The 22,480-nt window shown below is 40.1% G+C and overlaps 1 protein-coding gene across 70 annotated transcripts in view, besides 2 other annotated features; it reads right to left on the bottom strand.

Moving 5' to 3' along the window:
- The window catches only part of EPB41 (erythrocyte membrane protein band 4.1), a 232,942-nt gene that overhangs the window by 153,243 nt on the left and 57,219 nt on the right, over nt 1-22,480 (bottom strand). The window lies entirely within an intron of this gene.
- Nucleotides 246-775: an enhancer, noted in NCBI's record as "H3K27ac hESC enhancer chr1:29292536-29293065 (GRCh37/hg19 assembly coordinates)". NCBI's record gives its function as "activates a minimal SCP1, AML or CMV promoter by ChIP-STARR-seq in primed H9 embryonic stem cells {active_cell/tissue: H9 hESC(primed)}" and the evidence as "EXISTENCE:reporter gene assay evidence [ECO:0000049][PMID:30033119]".
- Nucleotides 776-1,306: an enhancer, noted in NCBI's record as "NANOG-H3K27ac hESC enhancer chr1:29292005-29292535 (GRCh37/hg19 assembly coordinates)". NCBI's record gives its function as "activates a minimal SCP1, AML or CMV promoter by ChIP-STARR-seq in naive H9 embryonic stem cells {active_cell/tissue: H9 hESC(naive)}" and the evidence as "EXISTENCE:reporter gene assay evidence [ECO:0000049][PMID:30033119]".

Here is a 22,480-nt window from a genome sequence, read left to right as displayed (position 1 = left end):
AAACATGGTAAGCATGCTATTTGCCAGGACCTTAGGATTTGTGGTTTCTTCTGCCTGGAAGACTACCTACCTCCCAGATGCCACGAGGCCTGCTTCCTTTGGGTTTTTACTCAAATACCACCTCCAGTGAGGCTTTCCTTGGTCACCCTACCTAAAATTGGAGGCCCAGCTGCACTTCATTCTCCTGCTTTATTTTTCTCTGTAGCACTTAACTACTCTTTAATGACATACTATATGGTTTTTACTTGATTTGGTTTATTGTTTGTCTACCCCCACTAGAATGTAAACTCCATTGGAGCAAAGGATTGTGCTTGTTTTGTTCATTGTTTCATCCCTGTTGCCCAGAATGTTGCACCAAAAAATATGAGTTGAACAAATAAATGAACAAAAGAAAGACTGATTTTGATAAGTCCAAAGGCCAGAAACTACTTTCCTCATAATAAAAGATGTGAACGAGTCATCTGGTGAAGGGTAAAGAAATCAACAGAATCTAGATATACCCAAGAAGGAATACAAAATGCTTACTTACATATCCAAGGTACTAAGATACTTCAGATGTAGATATGCTAACTGTAACTTAATTACAAAATAATTTTTTCTTTTTTTTTTTTTGAGACGGAGTTTCACTCTTGTTGCCCAGGCTGGAATGCAAAGGCGCGATCTCAGCTCATCTCAGCAACCTCCGGCTCCCAAGTTCAAGTGATTCTCCTGCCTCAGCCTCCCAAGTAGCTGGAATTACAGGCTCCCGCCACCATGCCTGGCTAATTTTTGTATTTTTAGTAGAGATGAGGTTTCGTCATGTTGGCCAGGCTGGTTTCTAACTCCTGACCTCAGGTGATCCACCCGTCTCAGCCTCCCACAGTGCTGGGGTTACAGGCATGAGCCACCACGCCCGGCTTACAAAATAATAATTTGCTAAATTATTGTGTGCCAGCCAAAAGGAATTAATAGTCATCCCATGTGGCAGTACAAAACTTTGAAAACGCTAAAGTTTATTCCAAGTATTTTCCTTTCTAGTGTAGTCTCTAACAAAGGTAACACTGAAAGGAGATCAGAGTGAAGTGCATCACTACAAATGGTAATGAGTTTGAAATCCCTAAGGGCATTCAGTTCTGGGTCAGCTCCCAGGAATCTGAGTCCAGAGAGAGGCAGTCCTACCCATTCCCACCTAACCTCCAGGTCATTCTTCATTTATATGTGCTCTGAAAAAAAAATGAGGTTGTGTGTGTTTCAATGGTGTTGAAAAGATCATGAGCCAAACAAGAGACTCAAAAACCCTGTTACCTCATTCTGTGTCTATACCTGATTCATTCATCTTCTTTCTCTTTGATACAGTCTCCAGACTTACACCTTATTCTCTTAAGTAATAATACCCTATACTAAACCCCAACAGGAAATCAGTTTCAAAAAAGTTCTAAAAAAAAAATTATAAAATGCTTTCCTGGGTTACTAGGTTCTATGAAAACATTAAAGCAATAAAATAAAATTCTCATTGGAGGCCTATGAGAATTACAAGATCAAAAAAAGGTTTTTTCCCCATAATTAAACAACTAAATATTTTTCTTTTTTCTCCTTTGAGGAAGATGATAATTAAAGTTTTACCAAAACTACAAGCAATATTTAAAAACCTATTCACTAATTCAAAAAACCCCATGCAATAATTAAATAATTACTGAATTCATCATAAATGTTCACTGAACATATAATATTTTAGGCACCAAGATAAGAGCCAAGGTTGCAAAAAAATAAGATGTGGCTTCTACCCTCAAAGAGTACACAGTCTATTTTAAAAATCAGGCAAAAGCAAGCAATTATATAGTAATATATGCAGAGAATAAGCAGAGCAGAGTCAGAGAAAAGGCCTTTGATATACAATCTGAGCTAAGCTTTAAAGGATAAGTAGGACTAAGTTAGGTGACGAAAGGAGGAGAGGGCATGATCAACTGGATAAGCATCTAGAAAAAGCATGTGCACCCGAATGGCAAGCAGCACAAAGTTCACTATAGCTGGAGTATAAAATATAGGATGACAGAAAACAATGGAGGTTGAGACTGGGTTGAGACCAGGCAAGGGTAGATTAGGGAAAGCCTGCTTTTGCAATGGTCAAGAATTTATACCTTATTCTCTGTAAAACAGGAAGCCATTAGAAAATTTTATTTATTTATTTATTTTATTTATTTATTTATTTATTTGAGACAGAGTCTCACTCTCACTCTGTTGCCCAGGCTGGAGTGCAGTGGCACGATCTTGGCTCACTGCAACCTCCGCCTCCTGGGTTCAAGTGATTCTCCTGCCTCAGCCTCCCAAGTAGCTGGAACTACAAGCGTGCACCACCACACCCAGCTAATTTTTTTTTTTTAGACAGAGTCTCACTCTATTGACAGGCTGGAGTGCAGTGGCATGATCTCAGCTCACTGCAACCTCCGCCTCCCAGGCTCAAGCAATTCTCCTGCCTCAGCCTCCTGAGTAGCTGGGACTACAGGCGCACCACCACATCCAGCTAATTTTTGTATTTTTAGTAGAGACGGGATTTCACCATGTTGGACAGGCCACAGTGGTCTCAAATTCCTGACCTAAAGTGATCGCCCGCCTCAACCTCCCAAAGTGCTGGGATTACAGGCATAAGCCACCCCACCAAGCCTGCCATTAGACGATGTTAAATATGGAAGTACCATAGTAAAATATGTGTTAATGTGTGTGTGAGAGAGAACGGATACAGGAAATAGAAATAGACTAATAGGAAGCTCTCCTAACAAGTTTGATGAAAGATCATGAGAGCCTGAATCAAGGTTTGTTGAGATGGAAGAAAAGGAGAAGGATTCAAGAAGTACTGAAGAAAGACAGTATGACAGAGTGGATTATAGCACCAGCTTCAGAGTCAGAAAAAAGCACTAACTGAAGGATGACTGTTCTGTTTTTAGAAAAGTTGACGCGTCTATGGGATATCCAAAATAGTTTAAATGTGCTAAAAGTCATTCTGAGTCTTCAAAGACAATGTTGAGTGTAAACTCACGGTGTAACCCTGGGTATATAAGCTGGTCAAACCAGGGTTATAATGAAGCATCACAAAATCTTAAACCTCAATGAGACTGATAAATCATCTGATCAAGTGGTTCTTTTTGTTGCCATGAACGATCTGAGAATCTAATGAAAGCCACAGACCCTTTCCTCAGAAATGTTCCAAAATAAAATTTTGCAACAATAGGTTAAGAATCTCCTGACCCATTCTCCTCCAGAGGGACTATGAGATAAAATTAGGCTGAGTTACTGCTCATCAGAGGCAGAGCCAAAACCCAAACCTAAGCTTCTTAACTCTCAATTCCATGTTATTTCTCCATTGTTACCAGAAACTTGAAATGATTCTTTCAGATTTACATTTTATTTAGTTGGTCATACAAGGCTAAAATCACACACAGACACACACACACACACACACACACACACACACACACACGATTCTGATTTTACTGAATGTAGCTTGTAGCCCTCATCAGGCTTTCCAGATCCAATGGCATTTCTCAAAAGTCAGTTGTTTCCCATTCATGCTAACAAAATTGGCACTCAAAATAAATAGAAGCATTGATGGTGGATTATTTTCATTTGTTTGTTTTTGTTATTGCTTTTTATATGTATATATAAAAAAACAAACTTGTTTTATTTTAGAAAAACTGTTCATCCTAATGGGAGCTGGTTTCGTTAAGAGTAATGAATGTAATTACAATTTAGTTCAATTAAGACTACTGTCACTCACCAAGCACAAGGCACTAAGAATGCAAAGATATCTAAAAATCCCATGGTCATCCATTAAAAGAAAAAATATAAATGTCTAAAATGTTACACAAAGGAATAGAGAATATCTTTATTTTTATTATTATTACAAACACTCATTTAATTTTACCTTATTAAAAAAACCATAAAAATCTGTGGTGAGAGAGAACCCCACACCCAACTACTGACAGTTCAACACATACTGCGAGCCATAAATGCTCCAGCAGCTACATAAACAAAAAGTTATGGGGACCTAAACTGAGGGGCAATGGGGTTTGGATTCTGACAGACCTGAGTTCTAACCCAGTCAAATCCAAAGACAGAAAGTTCTAACCTAGTCAAATCCAGAGACAGAAAGTTCTAACCTAGTCAAATCCAGAGACAGAAAGTTCTAACCTAGTCAAATCCAGAGACAGAAAGTAGATTAGAGTTGCAGGGGCTGGGGAAAACCAGAATGGGGAATGACTGCTAATGGGTACAGAGTTTCTTGCTGGGGTGACAAAAATGTGCTGGAATAAGATAGTAGTGATAGTGGCACAACTTTTGAATATACTAAAAACCCCAAGTTACACATTTTAGTGTACAGTGTAGAATTTATGGTATATGAATTATATAGGTTGATGCAAAAGTAACTGCGGTTTTTGCCATTAAAAGTAATAGCAATTATGGCCGGGAGCGGTGGCTCACGTCTGTAATAATCCCAGCATTTTGGGAGGCTGAGGCAGGCGGATCACCTGAGGTCAAGAGTTCAAGATCAGCCTGGCCAACGTGGTGAAACCCCGTCTCTACTAAAAGTACAAAAATTAGCCGGGCATGATGGCGGGCCCCTGTAATCCCAGCTACTCAGGGGCCTGAGGCAGGAGAATCGCTTGAACCTGGGAGGCGGAGGTTGTAGTGAGCCAAGATAGCGCCACTGCACTCCAGCCTGGGCAACAAGGGCGAGACTCCATCTCAAAAAAAAAAAGTAAAAGCAATTACTTTTGCACCACCCTAGTATCTCCATTAAAAAAAAAATCCAATATCAACTAGAGAAATCAATTTAGGAATAAGAGCAAAAACCAACTTAAAATTTAACGGCAAATACACTAAAATTACTATTGCCAAAAAAGCTATAAACCCATGATGGGTTTCTATATAGAGGAGGAACCAGTTTGCTCTCCTCACAAAAGAAGAGAAAATTGATGGGAGTTTCCTCTAAAGATTTAAACTGTACTGTAAAGATTTATTCCACTCCTGGATCTGGAAAGGAAGAATCAAACTTGAGTGATGATAGTAATTTGCATTGGCATAAAGTTGAATTTTTCATTTTTATTTTTGTGAAGGTATGAGAATCATAGTGTTAATATATGTATTCCTGAGAAATGTATTACATATTCCCACACACATGGAAGGACATGACTTGGTCATCAGTGTTACCTCATTGTTCAAGTAGAGAGAAGAGATATTATCCCCATGTTATCAAAATAGATACAATTTCAGATGAGTAACATCACCTATTCAATGTCCTACAGTGGCAGGACTGGGACTATAAACCGGGTGTTCAGATTCCCAGCCTGGTTTACTTTCATTACATCAATGATCTTAAGCTTTAGTGTGCTACTTTATCCTTTATTCAACAACTCTATCACTCAACCACTTATTAATTCTTATTAAAGTACAACGTAATAAACCAGGACACTCTCGGAGAGCACTTAACACCTTATTCATGTAAGGTGATTTTTCTTAAAACTGCAAATGCCATAGGAATTAAAAAGCACTATAAAACACATATTTATTATATAGGAAAGCCCCTTTTGGCCCTCATTCAGAGTCCCTTTACCTTTGTTTTTTGCCTAATTCTAACAAGTTTGTTTGTCAAATGTAACAGATGAATTTAAAGTAGAAGGGGTTATGATTCTTCTAGATACATACAATGAGTAAAGAAACAGCCTAAAAGAAAGAAAGAGACACATCAAAATCCAAAGTGATAGCCATCTTTTTTTTTTTTTTTTTTTTTGAGACAGGGTTTTGCTCTTGTTGCCCAGGCTGGAGTGCAGTGGCACTATCTCGGCTCACTGCAACCTCCGCCTCCAGAGTTCAAGTGATTTTCCTGCCTCAGGCTCCCGAGTAGCTGGGAGTACAGGTGTCTGCCACCATGCCTGGCTAATTTTTTGTATTTTTAGTAGAGATGGAGTTTCACCATGTTGGCCAGGCTGGTCTTGAACTCCTCACCTCAGGTGATCCACCCGCCTCGGCCTCCCAAAGTGTTAGGATTACAGGCGTGAGCCATTGCGCCTGGCCTGGCCTTCTTTTTTTAAATTTTTTTGCGACAGGATCTCTGTCGCCCAGGCTGGAGTGCGGTGGCACAATCTCAGCTCACTTCAGCGTCAACCTCTCAGGCTCAAATGATCCTCCTACCACAGCCTCTACAGGAGCAAATCACCACACTAAGCTGATTTTTTTTTTAAGTTTTTTTTTTTTTTTTTTTGTAGAGACGAGGTCTCACTACATTGCCCGACTGGTCTCAAACTCCTGCGCTCAAGTGATCCTCCCACCTCAGCCTCCCAAAGTGCTGGGATTACAGGCATGAGCCACTATGCCTGGCCAGTTATAGCAAACTTGACCATTTATTGTAGGGGTAATAAATCCTATATAGCTCAAGGTTCTTATTCATAATAATGCAGTCTCCCTAATAAAAGGATGACTCAATTCCAAATGCTTTATTCAAGAAAGCAAGGAAGGACTGGATATAGTGACTCACACCTGTAATCCCAACACTTTGGGAGGCCAAGGTGGGTGGATCACTTGAGCCCAGGAGTTCAAGACCAGCCTGGGTAACATGATGAGACGCCCCACCTCTACCAAAAATAAAAATTTAAAAAATTAGCCAGGTGTAGTGGCATGCACCTGTAGTCTCCGCTTCTGGGAGGCTGAGGCAGGAAGACTAACTACTTGAGCCAGGAGGTCGAGGCTACAGTGGGCAGTGATTGAGTCACGGCACTCCAGCCTGGGAAACAGAGTGAGATCCTGTCTCAAAAAAAAAAAAAAAAGAAAAGAAAAAAAAAGAAAGGGCCTCAAGAAGGGGCTCACGCCTGTAATCCCAGCACTTTGGGAGGGAGGTCAAGGCAGGCAGATCACTTGAGGCCAAGAGTTCAAAAACCAGCTTGGCAAACGTGGTGAAAACCATGTCTCCACTAAAAATACAAAAAAAAAAGAAAAGAAAACTAAAGAAAAAAGAGAGCAAGGAAGAACATAGCTCCCATTTTCCCAAATTCAAAACCTTAAATTCTTCTATTCCCCTTTTTGTTAAAAATTAGTTAAACCCAATCACTTGCCAAATCCTGTCAAGTCTACCTCTACCTCTGCATTTAACTATATGTTTCTATTTTTACTGTTTCTGCTCTAATTCACTCGACTATAAATAACCTATTTCCAGTCCCTCCTGCTATAAATGTTTTCTCTTCCAAACAAAGATTTAATCCTATCACTCTTTTATTCATCAGTTAACAAATATTTATTGAAAGATCAAACTTTTGGCTGGGTGCGGTGACTCATGCCTGTAATCCCAGTATTTTAGGAGGCCGAGGCGGGTGGACTACTTGAGGTCAGAAGTTTGAGACCAGCCTAGCCAACATGGCGAAAACCCATCTCTACTAAAAATAGAAAAATTAGCCAGGCGTAGTGGCACAGGCCCGTAATCCCAGCTACTTTGGAGGCTGAGGCAGGAGAATCGCTTGAACGCAGGAGGCAGAGGTTGTAGTGAGCCAATATTGCACCATTGCACTCCAGCCTGGCAACAGAGCGAGACTCCGTCTCAAAAAAAAAAAAAAAAAAAAAAAGATCAAACTTTTAAAGGCTCCGTAGTAGCTACGGTATAAAATCCAAACTCCTTTCCCATAGCACCCCAGCTTGGCTGTGATCTGCCCTCACTAGTCTCTTCTCCCACCAGCCCCACCTAGAACTACTTGCTGCTTCCTAAAACAGCCTGCACTTCCCTGCATCTGCCTTCTTTATAATACCCCAAGCCTGCATCTCCACCTGCTGAAATTCTAACCCTCCTTCAAAGCCCTGCCCACACGCCATGTTTTCCATGAATTTTATTTCTGTAATCCTTACAGTCAGAATTAATCCCTATACCTAGACATCTTTATTTACTTAAATATTGGACAGCTTTGCTTAAATATCCAATTCATTATTCTCTTTTTTCTTTCTTTTTTTTTTTTTTTTTTTTTGGAGACAGGGTATCCCTCTGTCACCCAGGCTGGAGTGCAGTGGCACAATTATGGCTCACTGCAGCCTTCACCTCCCAGGCTCAAGCAATCCTCCCACCTCAGCCTCCCGAGTAGCTGAAACCACAAGTGCATGCCACATGCCTGTGCTCAGCTAAATTTTTGTATTTTGGGTAGAGACAGGGTTTCACCATGTTGCCCAGGCTTGGTTTCAAACTCCTGACCTCAAGTGATCCACCCGCCTCGGCCTCCCAAAGTGCTGGGATTACAGACGTGAGCTACTGTGCCCAGCCCCATTATTTTCAGCAGTTACACGGTATTCCACTATCTAAATGCCACAAGTTTGACTCAAAGGTAACACACAATTTTTTTTTTAAGACAGGATATCACTTTGTCACCCAGGCTGGAGTGCAGTGGTGCAATCTCAGCTCACTGCCACTTCAATCTCCCAGGCTCAAGCAATCCTCCCACTTCAGTCTCCCCAGTAGCTGGGTTACAGGTGCATGCCACCATACCCGGCTAATCTTTGTATTTTTGATACAAACAGGGTTTTACCATATTGCCCAGGCTGGTCTCCAACTCCTAAGCTCAAGGGACCAAGCCACCATGCCTGGCTCATTAATTTTTTAAATATAGAGAACATTAAAATAATCCTGTAATCCTACTAACCAGGTAATATCTGTTGAAGCTTCTTTTAAATAAATAAAAGTAGGGTGCAGTGGCTCAACACCTATAATCCCAACACTTTGGAAGGCCAAGGCAGGAGGATTGCTTGAGGCCAGGAGTTCGAGACCTGCCTGGTTAACATAGCAAGACTCCATTTCTAAAAAAAAATAATAATAAATTAAATTAAATTAAAAAGTAACACATGGCCATGGTTAGAAAATTCAAACAGTATGGAAAGGTATTTGCTGGAATTATAACAGTAATTTCAACTAAGTAGAAAGTAAAGAGAATCAAACTAGAGGAGTATGAAGACGGTATAAGGAATTGGAGGAGAAGCACAGGTTCATAAAACTGTAAACTTCACTGAAATTGATTTTTTCCCCACAGCAAAATAGGCCATTTTTAAAGACCAATTCTTAAAAACAATGGCCCAGTATAAAAATATTTTAGCTGGAGGGGCATGGTGGCTCACATCTGTAATCCTGGCACTTTGGGAGGCCAAGGCGGGTGGATCGCCTGAGGTCAGGAGTTTGGGACAGGCCTGACCAATATAGTGAAACCTCGTCTCTACTAAAAATATAAAAATTGGCTGGGTGTGGTGGCATGCAACTGTAGTCCCAGCTACTAGGGAGACTGAGACAGGTGAATTGCTTCAACCCAGGAGGCGGAGGTTGCAATGAGCCAAGACTACGTCACTGCACTTCAGCCTGGGTGACAGAGTGAGACTCCGTTTCAAAAAAAAAGTTTTAGCAATGTTTCTGTCAGGCAGATTGAACATTCTTTTTCCTTTCCTTTTTTATTATTTTGACAGTCTCTACATATAGTGGAGGAAAAATGAATTATCTAGAAGCAATCATTATTGGCAAAAATCAATGGGCATCCCCATGAAGATGCCTAAAAACTACTTCTAATGTTCTCTTACTTCCCCTGCAGAGTATTCCTCATGAAAAAGGATTTTACTAGGTAGTGTGGTACTATTCTGCCAAAACCAGATCTGACAGATGTTAGCCATACCTACAAGATACATGGCCTATGCCAACTTAAGCTTTAATGCAAAAGCTTCAAAACAGGGCTGACTTACTCCAGATTCAACCACAATCCTATTCACTCTTCACATTACATGCAATCTAGTCTTTTTTAATGTTTTCTTCATGTCTTGCCTATAGAATTATTTTCACTATTTCAAGGCTAAGCTCAAGTTGCAGCTCATGTAGGAAGCCTTTCCTAAACTCTAGCACTCAGTGATTTCTTCTTGAAATTTAGACAGCTTCTTTATATCATCCAGCATTACATTAAACTCTACTGTGTCCTCTATTATTTCATGTATATTGCTAGACTGCAAGCTCTTTGAAGGTAAGGTTTATCTGTATTTGAAATATCTGTATCTCCCACAGTACCTAATCAGAAGAACTGTATAGTAGGTGCTTAATAAATAATATTTTAGATGATTCTTACTCTGAATTATTCTGTAGTAATATAAATATTAAAGTGTTACACATAATTATCTAATAATGAAATTCCTAAGGTTTACTTGTGGTTTTGTGTTGCATAAAGGCTATAATATAATACTGAGTACAGCCCAACAAAGATTAATTTGTCAAACAACTTTCCAAGAGACAAATAACTCAACCTACAACTGTTCTCTAGTTTCAAGAAAATGTTCTTGTTCTTGGAGACCTACAGTATAGATGTGCTGAATAAGCCAGCAGTTATTTACTTTCAATTCTTCAAAACTAATTTTCCATACAGCTGTGTTTACTCACAGCATGTCTTATTTATGCTGGAGGTGTAAAACAGCAAAGCCCAGTTCTCTCTCTCTCTTGCCTTTGTTGCCTTTGTTATTTGCCTTGCTGCAGTTTCCTAGCCACAGTTGTAATTAGTACCCAACAGAGATATATACTTTTCTAATAAAGAACAGCCTACCGCACAATGACATGTATACACACACAGCCATGTGTGTTCCTAGCGAATTAGGAATATTTTACACATGCAAGACTTCAAAGGCTTTTAATAGCTAAATGAGAGTACTTTACATGGCAGCTGCAACTGACTCACAGCACTGACTGCAGATTGATTCATCCCTTTCTCTTACTGCACACACATCTAATTGCAAAAAAGGAAACAACTCATTTGAGATTAAGTAGAATTATGCATATGGTCCTAAAGCAAACCTTTGTTAGTAAACTGCATTTGTCAAGGGAATTTCTTCTCAAATTATCACAAAAGTTATAGTGTTTATTATATAACAGTTAACTATGATTTTTCTGAAAAGTCATTGTTTTCAAACAGATTAATTAGTACTTCTTACGGTAGTTAAAACAGACAACATATACAGTATATATGCAGGCTGTGGATCCTATTCTCCATTCCCTTCACTGTCCAGTCTCCTCTGACTCCCACCCAGCATCATCTCTCACTCAATCTTCTCCACAACCTGTCATTAACCTTGTCAAGTTCCCACCTATACCCACTCAGTAAACGGAGGACAGTCAAGTAGAAAAATAGATCATCAGGGCTGGGCGTGGTGGGCTCACGTCTGTAATCCCAGCACTTTGGGAGGCCAAGGTGAGCGGATCATGAGGTCAAGAGATCAAGACCATCCTGACCAACATGGTGAAACTCCGTCTCTACTAAAAAATATACAAAAATTAGCTGGGCATGTTGGCGTGCACCTGTAGTCCCAGCTACTCGGGAGGCTGAGGCAGAAGAATCACTTGGACCCGGGAGACAGAGGTTGCAGCGAGTGGAGATCACGCCACTGCCCTCCAGCCTGGCGACAAAGTAAGATTCCGTCTCAAAAAAAAAAAGAATAAAGAAAAACAGATCATCAGATTGTCAAGGAAAAACCAAGAACTTACTTGTTAAACATTTCATTTACAAGTATAATTCAAATAGGAAGATAAGACTTGTCCCTTCCCCACTAGGGCAATACGAAGGAAAATTCCTTAGTTCTTGTACAAATACCCATTGTAACTGGCCTGTGTACTTGCATTATTAGCAAGTGGTAACGCTAGTAACAATAATAGTCAACCTACTTCCCTGAAAGTAGAGGCCATGGACTCTTGGAGGCTTTCAAGTTTATCACAGGGGTTCAAAAGTCACATGCACCAATACTGCTTGTAGACTGAATAATGGCTCCAGCTACTATTTTTCAAATATATGTAGATGCTGTTGTGATTAATAAAATCAAAGCACATTTATTAATAAAAGATGTACTGATTTATAATAGCTTTATCATGTGTTCTGCTAATCAAGAATTATTAAAATTATAACTCGTATCACACGAACGGGGTCTACATAATTAATGGTTACTAATTAAGGTTGGAAATCACTTCATCAGACTGGGCTTGAATTGGAACTATGCCTAAGTCATCTTTTTGTTCCCAGTGACATATAGGGAATGTGCTTTTGAACTAAACCAAACATGCCTTAAACATGGTGGCATGAAATCAACCATCGGCATGTTTTTCAAGTCAGTGAAAGATTTTTAAACCCTAAAATTGGGAGACTTGTGAAGTGTAAAGTAGAAGTATTAGTATATTGTGTGAAGTTTGAGCCTTTCCTTAAAAAAAAGTTACTTAAGAACTAAAAATTTCTTATACACTAATTGGCATGTCTCCAAAAACGACTGAAATGTCATCATTCATTATTGGCTCACACATACATTGGCTAATGGAAAGTTCAGGATCTAATGCTAAACAAAGGGGTTCCCTGATTTAAGGAACAGCAACCTCAAACCAAACTATTTTCAATTTTCCTTTGGGAAAAATTAATAATCTTAAAATAGCAGTTATCTTTGCAGCAAGCAAGAGCATTAATACTGATTTTCCAGGACAGGTGCCAATAGCTCTTTGTTATTTAGCACTTTTCTTTTACTTTGCCCTCTACAACAATGATAAATAGCACAGTATAAAACAATGAATCCTTCCTAACCATGTGCCTAAACAATATTAGAAGTCTTTTAACATTTTGAAATGAATAATGAATGAGCATTTCTTGGGAAATATGGAGGAATAAACTATAAATAATTACAGCAGCAGTTCTCACCTGGGGTGCGCATTAGAATTGTTATGGAACATGTTAAAATATAGATGCAGAGGCCTCTGACTGGCATCTTCAAGAGTTTTTTAAAGCTCCAAAGGTAATTCTAATGCAGATCCTTGAACTTCAGCCTAATAGTTCTCAAAGTGTGGTCCCCTAACCAGGAGCACTGATATCACCTGGGAACTTGCTAGAAATGCAAATCTCAGACTCGACCTTGACATATGGAATCAGAATCTCTGGGGATGATGTCCAGCAATCTGTCTGCAAGCCTTCCAAGTGATTTTGATAAATGCTTAACTTTGAGAACCTTGGCTTCGGACCCTGGTGTCCATCCATTCTTTATTAACTACGTAAGATGAAAATGAGATCTAACTAATACAAATAAATTGAAAGCATGTTTTTCTCACTAAAAAAAGTTTAGTTTTGTCTTATCATTAAATTAGTCTAATGTCACCTTCATTGGAAAACGGTTCAATTCATCAGGTTCTTGGATCAGGCATGCATGCATGTATGCATTCATACATTCATTCAGAGACCGGGTCTTGCCCTGTCAGCCAGACTGGAGTGCAGTGGCATAATCCAGGCTTCCTTTTTAAACACAAATGTGTCCAGATTAGGCAAGAAATCCAAAGTTAACATGCCATCTTGTCTATGTTTCATCTGGTCCCTGGGCAGCAGGGATTTCTCAAGTCAGCTGATTAACTGCAACCCTTGAGACAGCAAAAGGCCCGCATGGTTTTCCTTCTCAATTTTAAGATTCAATTATGTGTAAATTCAAATAATTTACAGGAAATACAAAAAAAAAACCAAGAAACCTATTAAACTCTACCATGGAACTGAAATCAACAAAATCCAGACTGAGTAGAAATTCTACAGGATAAATGATCCAGTTTCTTCAACAAACACATTATAAGAAAAAGAGAGAGAGAGATAAGAGTATACCTATGGACTGAAAGAAACTTAAGAGACATATCAATCACTTGCAATATGTAGACCTTGTTTCAATTCTAATTCAAATGAAATTACCAAAAAAAAAAAATTCCATTTGAGACAACTAGAAATTTGAACACTAAATAGATATTTGGGCCGGGCGCAGTGGCTCATGCCTGTAATCCCGGCACTTTGGGAGGCCGAGGCAGGCGCATCACTTGAGGTCAGGAGTTCGAGACCAGCTTGGCCAACATGGTGAAACCCCATCTCTACTAAAATACAAAAATTAGCTGGGCGTGGTGGTGAGCGCTTAATCTCTCACGTTGTTTCCAGGAAAAGACAAGTTAAATCTCTAGCTTCATCTAAATTTACGCAAGAAATTTACAAAAAGAAGCAATGGGCAAAAATGGAGAAAAACTCCTAGATAATAGCCCTTGTCTGGAAATACTTATCTTCCATAATATATATTATACACATAATTGATAACCTAACACCATCATTGTGGTTACAGTATGTTTAAAAAATACATTATTGAAGAAACATACCAAGAGTGGTTATCTTCCTATGGAGGAATGTTTCCCTTTCCCCTTTTCTGTATTTTCCAGATTGACTAAAATGAGCATAAACCACTTTTTTTTAATTATTATTAATTTTTTTGCAATGGAGTTTTGCTCTGTCGCCCAGGCTGGAGTGCAGTGGTGCCATATTGGCTCACTGTAACCTCCGCCTCCCGGGTTCAAGTGATTCTCCCACCTCAGCCTCCTGAGTAGCTGGGATTAAAGGCAGGCGCCACCATGCATGGCTAATTTTTGTATTTTTAGTAGAGACAGGGTTTCACCATGTTGGTCAGGCTGGTCTTGAACTCCTGACCTAGTGATCCGCCTGCCTTGGCCTCCCACAGTGCTGGGATTACAGGCGTGAGCCACCGTGCCCGGCCGCACGAACCACTTTGATAACTGACAGAAAAAAAAAAAAAAGTATCTCCTCACTCCAGGAAGGGATAAAATTTTATTTTACTATATCAGGTAGTAAATTATAAGCATAAAGTCTCATTACACAATTCAATTTGACCCAGTTTAATACAGGCTATATAATTCTGTTTTTCCTCTAACCCTACCCTTGCTTATATCCCCAATATGAATTAGACATATTTTTCTCAGTTCCCCTAACAAGTGAGGAGGCAAGGTCACCCCTGACTCTCCATAGATTGAAATCAAGATCAAACAGTAACACTAATTTTCAAGCCAATTCTTAGTTTTCTTAAGTATAGTGATCTCCTGATTTTTATTTATTTATTTATTTTGAGACAGGGTCTTGCTCCGTCATTCCCAGGCTGCAGTACGATGGCACAATCAGGCTGCAGTACAATGGCACAATCACAGCTCACTGCAGCCTCAACCTCCCAGGCTCAAGTGATCCTCCCATCTCAGCCTCCCAAGTAGCTAGGACCACAGGTGTGTACTACCATACCTGGCTAGTTTTTGTATTTTTTGTAGAGACAGGGTTTTGCCATGTTGCCCAGGCTGGTCTCAAACTTGTGAGCTCAAGTAATCCTCCTGCCTCTACCTCCCAAAGTGGGGGGATTACAGGCATGAGCCACCACGCCCAGCCTGATCTCGATTTCAAACAATGTGCATAGTACCTTTTTCCTGGACAACTTCTGTCTGCCTAGGCCAAATTCCCTTAGTAGATATCCTCTCACTTCAAGTCTTTTCTGATTTGCTTCTACTCCATTACTGTAGTCCCTTCAGTCTCCTGCTCCAATTCCTCCAACACACATCACATTTGTGTGTGTGTGTGTGTGTGTGTGTGTGTGTGTGTAAGACACAGGGTAAATGTGTAAGAGTTGGGGTTGTTTTTTTTTTAATGGGGTCTTATGTTGCTCAGCCTCTTAACTGTGACTACAGGCCCATGCCACTGAACCCAGCAGAAGTCAGCTTTTATAGATATATTTTCTCAATAATTAAAAACCAAAAGCCATAATACCATCCTTGGTAAATTGAAGAGGGTTATATATCTTCACCTGGCCTTGATATAATAGCACAGAGGGCTGGGCACGGTGGCTCATGCCTGTAATCCCAGCACTTTGGGAGGCTGAGGCAGGCGGATCACCTGAGTCAAGAATTCAAGACCAGCCTTGGCCAACATGACAAAACCCCATCTCTACTAAAAATACAAAATTAGCCAGGCGTAGTGGCACAGGCCTGTAATCCCAGCTACTTGGGAGGCTGAGGCAGAAAAATTGCTTGCACCTGGGAGGCAGAGGTTGCAGTGACCCAAGACTGCACCACTGCACTCCAGCCTGGGCAACAAGAGCAAAACTCCGTCTCAAAAAAAAAAAGTACAGAAACTGCTAGGTGCCTGTTCAAGATGTCTCTTCCCTCTTGGGAGGCTGCCTCTATCTGTAAAGAGAGGTAGGAAATGTGGCCTTTTAGTTGGAAACAATCTGCTCTTAATTATATGGGGATTTTTGTTAATAAGAACAAGCTACTCAAGAGGCTGAAGGTCACAAGATGGCTCTTCTGTTACCCAGCCAGCCATCTGTGTTCTAAGCAAGAAGGGAGAGGGGAGGCCCTTTGGCCTTCTGCCTTTCTCCTGCTCCCTTCAGAACAGTAGCCATATGTTAAGGTTGGCAGAGCATAAATTTAGGAGACTGGGACCAAGACAGTTTTTTATTAACATATACATACATTTTACTCTTCAAAATAGATGTATGCCTTAAACATTCACACTAAAATAAATCCCAATTATACTATATATAAAGCCTGATTGTGGACACTTACTATAGAAAGACAAAACGACTTACTGCTAGAGTCTGGTCCTAAAGTTAAACAAACATGGGTTTGAACTTGTTCAGCCACTTGCTATCTATGTGGCTTCTTGGATACATAACATCTCTAAGCCACAGTTTATTAAACTGTTGATAGTTACAGGTTGTTCTGATTATTAAATTAAATGCTATCATATCTTGTAAGGCTGAACATGTACTCTATGACTCAGCAATTCTACTCCTAAGTATCTACCTTAGAGAAACTTTGAGATGCTTACACACACCTACACATCCAACACACTAACACACACATGTACAAGGAGACATCACAGGCATAGACAAGAAGACAGGTACATGAATGTTCACTGTACCACTGCAATGTCTATTATCAGGAAAATGGATAAATTAATTATGAAATAGTCATACAATGGAATATTATACCACAGTAAAAGTAAATTAACTGAAGCTATATGCAGTACCATAAATAAATGTCTTAAAAATAACAGAGTGGGGCCAGGCACAGTGATTCACGCCTGTAATCCCAGCACTTTGGGAGGCCGAGGCGGGCACATCACAAGGTCAGGAGATCGAGACCACCCTGGCCAATATGGTAGAACCTCGTCTCTACTAAAAATACAAAAATTATCTGGGTGTGGTGGCATGCACCTGTAATCCCAGCTACTCGGGAGGCTGAGGCAGGAGAATCGCTTGAACCCAGGAGGTGGAGATTGTGGTGATCCGAGATTGCACCACTGCACTCTAGCCTGGGTGACAGAGCGAGACTCCATCTAAAAAAAAAATAAAAATAAATAAATAAATAAATAACAGAGTGGAAAAAAGGAAATAGCAGAATTCAAAATATACCATTTTTATAAAGCTCAAAACCAAGCAAAACTAAACAATATATTTTTAAAGATCTATCTGTTGTAATATATATCTATATATAGTAATACAGAGATGGTAAGTTTTTTTTGAGACAGGGTCTCACTCTGTCACTCATACTGGAGTGCAGTGATGCCATCATGGCTCACAGCAACCTTGATCCAGGCTCCAACAATCTCCCACCTTAACCTCCCAAGTAGCTGGAACTACAGGTGCACACCACATGCCTAGCTAATTTTTAAAATTTTTTGTGGAGATGTGATCTCACTATATTGCCCAAGCTGGTCCCAAACTCCTGAGCTCAAGCAGTTTTCCCACCTTGGCCTCCCAAAGTGCTGGGATTACAGGTATGAGCCACCAAGGCTGGCCTAAAATTATTTTTTAAATAAATGTGAAATACAAAATGCTCAGCAGCAGTTATCTCTGAAGGGAAGGCAGGAGAATGAATGGGGGAAGAGAGCACTGGTAGATTCAACAGTACTAGTATAGTTCTAGTTCTTAAGTTGGATGGTAGGTTTATAGGTGCTACTTTAATATTACACTTCCTAAACTACATTTTATGTTTCATAGATTCTTTTTTTGAGATGGAGTCTCGCTCCGTCACCCAGGCTGGAGTGCAGTTGGCGTGATCTTGGCTCACTGCAACCTCAGCCTTCTGGGTTCAAGCGATTCTTCTGCCTTAGCCTCCCGAGTAGCTGGGACTACAGGCACGCACCACCATGCCCAGCTAATTTTTGTATTTTTAGTAGAGACAGGGTTTCACCATATTGGCCAGGCTGGTCTTGAACTCCTGACCTTGTGATCTGCCCGCCTTGGCCTCCCAAAGTGCTAGGATTACAGGCGTTAAGTCACAGCGTCCGGCTCATAAATTCTTTTTAATGAATCAAATATCACACAAGCATATAAAAATAGCGTAAAAGGATACTAAGCACAGATTTACATCACTTAAAAAGGACACTCCATTCTTGCTATCCTCCAATAGTTGCTGCTTCACTTTCTTTCTTTCTTTTTTTTTTTTTTTTTTTGATACGGAGTCTCCTGTCGCCCAGGCTGGAGTGCACTGGCGCGATCTCGGCTCACTGCAAGCTCTGCCTCTCGGGTTCATGCCATTCTCCTGCCTCAGCCTCCCGAGTAGCTGGGACTACAAGGGCCCGCCACCGCGCCTGGCTAATTTTTTTGTTTTTTGTATTTTTAGTAGAGACGGGGTTTCACCGTGGTCTCGATCTCCTTACCTCGTGATCCGCCCGCCTCGGCCTCCCAAAGTGCTGCGATTACAGGCGTGAGTCACCACGCCCAGCCTGCTTCACTTTCAATAATCCATTCTCGCCACTTAGCACAAGTAAATTCAGTACCATCCTAAGCAGCTTTCTAAGAACTGTTGTTTGAGTATGTTTCAAACTTTTCTTGAAAAAACAAAATCCCCAAATGATTTGAGATATATTAGATATAACTTCTACAGTATAAATAGTATAAAGGCTTAAGTAGACAATGTCCACAAGTATGTTTTATACAGAATGAGGGGAATGTTTAAAAAGAACATGAAAAAAAAAACACCCATTTCAATTTGTAGCAAACCAAAATGCATTCTAGTCAGTAGACTAACATAACTGAAAGAATTTCGCTGGTTAGCAAGAACTAATATAAAATTCCTATAATAAACATTAAAGTGGCTAAACTATTCTGCGGTATATCTAGAATAACTGCTGTTTGTTTGTTGAGACAGTCTCACTCTGTTGCCCAGACTGGAGTGCAATCTTAGCTCACTGCAACCTCCGACTCCTGGGTTCAAGTGATTCTCATGCCTCAGCCTCCCGAGTAGTTGAGATTACAGGATGTGCCGCCACACCCAGCTAATTTTTGTATTTTTGATAGAGACAGGTTTCATCATGTTGGCCACACTGATCTCAAACTGCTGGCCTCAAGTGATCCGCCCACCTCGGCCTCCTAAAGTGCTCGGGTTATAAGAGTAAGCCACCACACCCCGCTGAATAACTGTATTTTTAACGGCATCCAAACACTAGACTTCCCTGGTTGCATCTAATAAAAAGAAAGCCATTTGCCCTCAAGAGATTAAAAGGCCGTTTGTTTGTTTGTTTGTTTGTTTGTTTGTTTGTTTGTTTGTCTGAGACGGAGTCTCGCTCCGTCGCCAGACGGGAGTGCAGTGGTGCGATCTCCGCCCACTGCAACATCCGCCTCCCGAGATCAAGCGATTCTCCTGCCTCAGCCTTCCGAGTAGCTGGGACTACAGGCGCGCGCCACCACACCCAGCTAATTTTTGTATTTTTAGTGGATTTGAGGTCTCACCATGTTGGCCAGGATGGTCTTGACCTTGTGATCCACCCGCCTTGGCTTCCTAAAGTGCTGGGATTACAGGCGTGAGCCACCCAGCCCGGCCAAGAGATTCAAAATTAAGCAACAAGTTTAAAGTTACACTGATCCATTAATTTGGCCTTCCCTTGCATATCTGGTGCTATTCCATTCTCGTTTCTGAATAATTAGGTACCCTGCCTTATCTCCCTTTTTGTGGTTCCACCATGCTCTGCATATTTAGCTCTATGCACAGGATATTTTCTTTCAGTCATAATGTAGGTTTCTCTCCCTCTCTCCTTGTGTATGAGTTTATTTCATCCCACATTAAAAACATAAAACATCTGACATATTTGCTAATACCTTGTTTGCCCTTATGAATGTCTTTAATACATCAAACAGCATGAACCAGACCAGTGAACCCTAGGGCAGCCCTTTGATATTTAAACCAGTCAGCTATCTTCTTCATAATTTTATCTTTATTGGTCAAAGTGACATGCTAAATATTGAAGCAGGGAGGAGTATAGGTATGAAACAAAATGCAGTTACTACTTCAATGAAATGAAAAATAGAGTCGCTATTTCAAGTAATCATATGTTATTGAAGTTGCAATTATTTACGTGTTACAGAAATCCTAAAATTTTTTCTACTGGAAATCAGTAGACCAAAATAAAAAGTGGAATCTAAAATATAAAATATCCAAAATTGTCACATTATGTCTAGTTAATCCTAAATTGTTTACATCCACATTTTGCACAGTTCCAATCCAACTGATGATAGGTGTTATAGCAGGAGATTCTTTTTTTGAAAAAGAGTTGGCCAGGTGCAGTGGCTCACGCCTGTAATCCCAGCACTTTGGGAGGCCAAGGCAGGTGGATCACGAGGTCAGGAGATCAAGACCATCCTGGCCAACACGGTGAAACCCCTTTAGCACTGCAAGGTGAAGGTTGCAGTGAGCCGAAATTGCGCCATTGCACTCCAGGCTGGGCGAAAGAGCGAGAATTCATCTCAAAAAAAAAAAAGAAGTTGAAGTAGACAATGTTAAGGTTCTTCTCAATCACAAAAGTATTTTTTTTTTAGTAAAAAGGAATAAACATTTAGTAAAAGAATAAAATTGTATACGTTATCAAATATCCAAATCTTTGTCAGCAGCGTTTTCACTCTTATATTCATTCATTCACAGTATGGATCTGAAAGGCATAAACTCACTTTTTTCAAAGATGAATTTCCCATACATCATACAATGTCTACTTTCCTATCACAGTTGGGATACTCTGGCTAGTTCACAAGTATAACAGCAGTCTGAGGCCACCTTGCAAAACCAGGCTATATTAACCAGCACTACTACAATGTTTCTGGCAAATCTTGACTAATGTCAATCTAATTCAGCTAGCCCAACAGAATTTTGTATCACTGAAAGGAAATTTATTTTCTAGTTTTGTTGCCAAACCTATGTAAGGAATCCCACCAAAATACACAAGAGAAATAAATATTCAGTGGCTAATATACAGTATTCTGACGTTAGCCTCACAATCCACATCAATCCATTAACTTTGGCCCATTTCCTAATTTAAAGAAAATTTTAAAACAGAATATTAAACACTTATACTTAATATATTCACTGCTCCACAATACCTTCCTTCCTTTAGAGTTATGAAACTCCTTTTTTTCCCTTAGGGTGATGCTATGGTTGCAGTATAAAAGTTACATTTAACACTATTTGGGGTTGGTGATATAGCTCATTTTAAAAATTATCTATTTAAAACCTCTCAACTACAGATACCAAGTAGTTATTATTAACAAACATTAACTGAACTCCTTTATGTGACAAGGACATCAATAAAGAGAATATACACCGTCTTTATCGATATAACACCCACCCCTCCAAATAAAAGGAGGAGAATTATGTCAGAGGTGCATTTCTCTTCAGGAACACATATTATCTGTATGTAATTTTCACCACCAGATAATTAAACAAGTAACAACAGAGACTTCACTGGAATAAGGGCAATTATAGCATAATTCAGTTTATATCATTATTAGTAAGAACAATTTTAGATGGTAAAGTATTACCTCCAAATTTAAAGATTTATAAACAGGATTATATTCTGGTTCTTTTTTTTTTTTTTTCTTTTTTTGAGACACGATCTCACTCTGTCACCCAGGCTGGAGTACCATGGCACGATCTCACTGCAACCTCCGCATCCCAGATTCAAGTGATCCTCCCACCTCAGACCCCCAAGTAGGTGGAACTACAGGCGCACACCACCATGCTCGGCTAATTTTTTTGTATTTTTGGTAGAGATTGGGTTTTGCTACATTGCCCAGGCTGGTCTCAAACTCCTGAGCTCAAGCAGTCCTCCCACCTCGGCCTCCCAAAGTGCTAGGATTACAGGCATTACATTACACACCTGTAATCCCAGCACTTTGGGAGGCTGAGGCAGGTGGATCACTTCAGGTAGGGAGTCTGAGACTAGCCCAGCCAACATGGTGAAACCCCTTCTCTACTAAATACAAAAATTAGCCGGGCGTGGTGGCACATGCCTGTAATCCCAGCTACTCGGGAGGCTGAGGCAGGAGAATCACTTGAACCCAGGAGGCGGAGGTTGAAGTGAGCCAAGATGGCACCACTGCATTCCAGCCTGGGTGACAGAGCAAGACATCTCAAAAAAAAAAAAAAAAAAAAAAACCAGATCTGAGAGTTTTATGTTTAATTATTGTGAGTACACAGTAAGCATATATATTTATGGGGTATGTGAGATGATTTGATATGGCATGCAAAATGAAAGAAGCACATCATGGAGAATGCGGTATCCATCCTCTCAAGCATTTTTATCTTTTGAGTTACAAACAATCCAATTACATTCTGTTATTTTTAAATGTACAACTATAATTGACTATAGTC

The sequence above is a fragment of the Homo sapiens genome, chromosome 1 (assembly GCF_000001405.40).
Source record: "Homo sapiens chromosome 1, GRCh38.p14 Primary Assembly".
NCBI classification, from domain to species: Eukaryota; Metazoa; Chordata; class Mammalia; order Primates; family Hominidae; genus Homo; species Homo sapiens.
Note: the sequence above shows the minus strand (reverse complement) of the source record. Positions and strands in the feature narration are given on the sequence as shown.